The 3,646-nt window shown below is 42.6% G+C and overlaps 1 annotated feature.

The window, feature by feature from the left end:
* Positions 1,637–1,837: a silencer, noted in NCBI's record as "peak180 fragment used in MPRA reporter construct". NCBI's record gives its function as "represses an SCP1 promoter by STARR-seq MPRAs in K562 erythroleukemia cells {active_cell/tissue: K562}" and the evidence as "EXISTENCE:reporter gene assay evidence [ECO:0000049][PMID:32103011]".

The raw sequence follows: 3,646 nt of genomic DNA, 5'->3' as shown, positions 1-3,646 counted from the left end.
CAGATGGACATGGATCAGAATCCAAGGTCTAGTATTATTAGCTACATGAACCTGGGCTCAGCCCAGATCAAGCAAGAGTCAAAGAGAATGCATGGAGATCATCTAAGAGCCCAGGGAGTCCTCTCATCAGGATGCCAGAAGGAAGGATATGACTGAAACCGTGGAAGATTCTAGAAATCTGGTAATTCTCAGGCTTATCTACCCTCATGGAGCAGCATAAAAGATGACCATAAAGGGTCCTGTGGGCTTGTCCTTGGGGAGAAAGGGGCAGGAGGAGCTGGGGATATTGAATCCTGACTGTTAGCTATGATCAGTGTTCATAGGACTGCTGGTAGCTCCAGAAGATGGAGGCAGCAGGATGTGCCCCTGGGCTTTCAGGAAGGAAGAACAAGCCCAGAGAAAGTTGTCTGGGGCAGAGAAGTGACTCCAGGGTTTTAAGCCTCAGGGTGTTGAGTCCAGAGGAATGGAGATGAGGTGTTTCTCTGCCTCCTACTCTCATCATACCTCATTGAAGAAGACTTCTGGCAGCTGATCTCCTATTTATATTGCCCATCTCAGGCCCTGGGTCCAAAGTTTTTCCAAAGGAGAAACATCCCCTTTGTGTGCCTTCCTTCCTCTGGGTAAAATGCTTTTGTTCAGCTCTGGGCTTGAGGAGGCGAAGTTGTAAAGTCACAGTTTGTAATCAGTAGCTCCACCTGCCTTTTGCATCTCTCTCTGTAGGTTGCCTGATTTAGCCTCACCCTTACCCCTCTGTTCTGGCAATGTCCACTTTCCCTGGCCTTCTCCCCAAGACAAAACCTCTGAGAAGTCATTCAACACACTCAAGTTACACTGTTGAGTGGTTTTAGCTCTCTTCTTTCTGACTCTAAAGCTCATGCTCTTTCAATCACCCCACGTGGTTTTCACATAAAAATTCTCATCATAGCACAAGTCTCTGAAATAAAAAAACTGGAAATAACCTAAATGTTCAACAATTAGGGGGTTGTATAGTAAATCACGATGTATCCATTTGTTAGAACATTATACAGACATTAAAAGTGATCATCACAGAGACTGTATAGCAACTTGGGGAAAGGTTTATGATAAGACACTAAGTGAAAATACTACAATTGCTTTGATTGCAATGATGGAAAATATGTCAGTGTGTCAACAAGGGCTGCAAGATAATATGCAGAGGTGAAAAATAGCTGTGTTTTGGGTGGAGTTTTTTCTTTCCTTCTAAAATGATGTGCTTCTTTTAAATTCTTCTTGTGTAGTCGTTTTTCTTCCTGTGAGATAATTTTTCAGGGTTGGTGTAGAGCACACAAGAATATATGGTGAGACAAGGTCAAAATCTGAGAAATTTCCACAATGGGGACCCCCCAGTTTAGTGATGCTGACTCCTTCATGTTAAGAGGCTCCAGCTCAGACATAGAACCTCCATATTGTGGTTAAGAGCAGAGGTTTTGTAGTCAGATGGACATGGATCAGAATCCAAAGTCTAGTATTAGTAGCTGCATGAACCTGGGCTCAGTACAGAGCAAGCACTCCTGTGCAGTCAACACAACCAGACACAGGAGATAAACTTCTCAATACATTTTGAATAGAGAATGTCCTACAATCCCCTTCCTCCATAATTAATCAGCAGTATTGGCTGTTTCGATTCTCCAACTCTCTAGTAAAGCAAGGCTTCATTGATTTTATTTTTTGGCGAGGGGTTTGCGGGTGAGGGTTGGGGGAGGGGGGCAGGGGGAGGTGTGTTGTCTGTCACTGTCCATGGTTCTGAACCGGCACTACAACAAGTATATGGTTGTTTCTCTGGGAAATTGCAGGGCTGGCATATCCTCTGCCCCACCCTATTTTTCCATAGAAGTACATTTATGCTAACCACTTCAATGTGGTCTTCATCAGTGTGAGGTTAAAAAACTTTGGAATTCTTGGAGCTTGGCAGGAAAGGGAATTAGAAAAAATCGCAAGTTGTGGGGGCAGGAGTGGTAGATGATATGTCAGCTCTTACTGAGTTATGACCCTGGTTAATGGCTGCAAGACATATCATATGTTGGGTAGAAAGTTTTGAGTCATGGCAGCCTTTGTGAGCTTTGAAACTAGGAGAGAAAAACCATAAGACCAACAGTTGGTACTGGTACTACTTCTTTAATCTGCAGTTGTCACAGAGTCTTGGTGTACTTTATAAAGTGTAAAAAAGTGGCTTTGATGATCTGTTCCATAGACTATCTCCAAAATGACAGCAACCAGCAAAGACAACTCCAATAGGAAATAATCTGTGACTACTCTCTGTCTCTGTCATCTCCTTTCTCTATTTATCTCTGTCTTTCTCTGTGCTCATGTAGTCTCTCTGCCCCTCCTCTCTCCTCTTCTTCCCAGCCCTCCCTGCTCTCCCTTCAATCTACTTTTGCTTGTAAGAAAAACACTATGTAATTTTCTTTAAAAATTAATTCTACCCTACAAAATATGTCTAAAATATTCAAGAGGGGGAAAAGTTTCTTTAATAGAACTGTTTCTTCCAGCATAATCAAGTTAATGAGTGCCTCCTTATAATTTAATGCGAAGTAATTTTCACACTGGTGGTGAGCTTCAAAGATAGGTGAATAGATAATTAATAGCATGATTCCCCCTGGCAACCAAGGTAAACTTCAGTCCTGATTGGGCAAAAACAGTCAAGAAGAGGATGGAATTAACTACAAACAGCCACATTTGTCACCAGTGCTCTTTGGAGCAACAAGAAGAGAAAAAAAGGCAATAATGAGTGTTGAAAGAGGATGGGATGGGTTGTAAACCTAAAGTTAGTTGCAGAAGATTTTTCTGTTCATTTGTTTGTTTGACTATGAAATTTGGTCTGAACTGAACTGGAAAAGCTAGAAGGCAGGAGTGACATCCAATTTTAATAAAATCAATGGCAGGCAAAAATCATTTTCAATGTGTTTGAAGAGAGAGTCTGCTCAATTCATGGGCTGCTGGAGCAAGCCATCACATGGAGGTTAGTCTACTCCTGCTCATTAGCCCTGAAAGTCAGAGACCAAGGCAAGAGCAAACCCAACCCAGGAAGGCTGCTGACATAGGATGTAGTCAAAGAAATCTGCAACCTAGTCAGTCTTTAAAGCCTGTGGACACTTTCTACATAATGCCATCTTAATTTCTCCATTTTCTCCATTCCCATTGCCTTCATCCAAACCTTTATCATGTCTCACCTGAACTATTACAATATCTGTCTATCTTGTTTCCACATTGGCCAGAAGTGCTCTACCTACTACCCAAATCTAGTCATGCTGTTCCCTGCTTAAATCTCTTCAAAGGGATAGGAATACTTATCATAACATAGGGATACATGATACAAACTCTCTACTTTTGAATACAAGGCCCTTCATGGTCTCACTCTGCTTCCCCTCGCCAGCCAGCCACATCGCTCCCCTCTCTCCTCCCTTACCCTACTGGGCATCCTATTATTAGACTTTCTGAACAACCTGCCATTCCACTAATTTGTGTGTCATGCTCTCTCCCTTTTCTAGGTTAATCGTTTTGCCTGGAAATTCTCTTTCCCTCTCCAATCCTCTTCTGACTGACACATGCCCTTCCAGATCCTGGCAAGGCACTATCCCTGCCTTCCCTGACCACTGTCAACATCAAAGTCTTGGCCAATCGCTCTTTT

The sequence above is a fragment of the Homo sapiens genome, chromosome 1, assembly GCF_000001405.40.
Source record: "Homo sapiens chromosome 1, GRCh38.p14 Primary Assembly".
NCBI lineage: Eukaryota > Metazoa > Chordata > Mammalia > Primates > Hominidae > Homo > Homo sapiens.
Note: the sequence above shows the minus strand (reverse complement) of the source record. Positions and strands in the feature narration are given on the sequence as shown.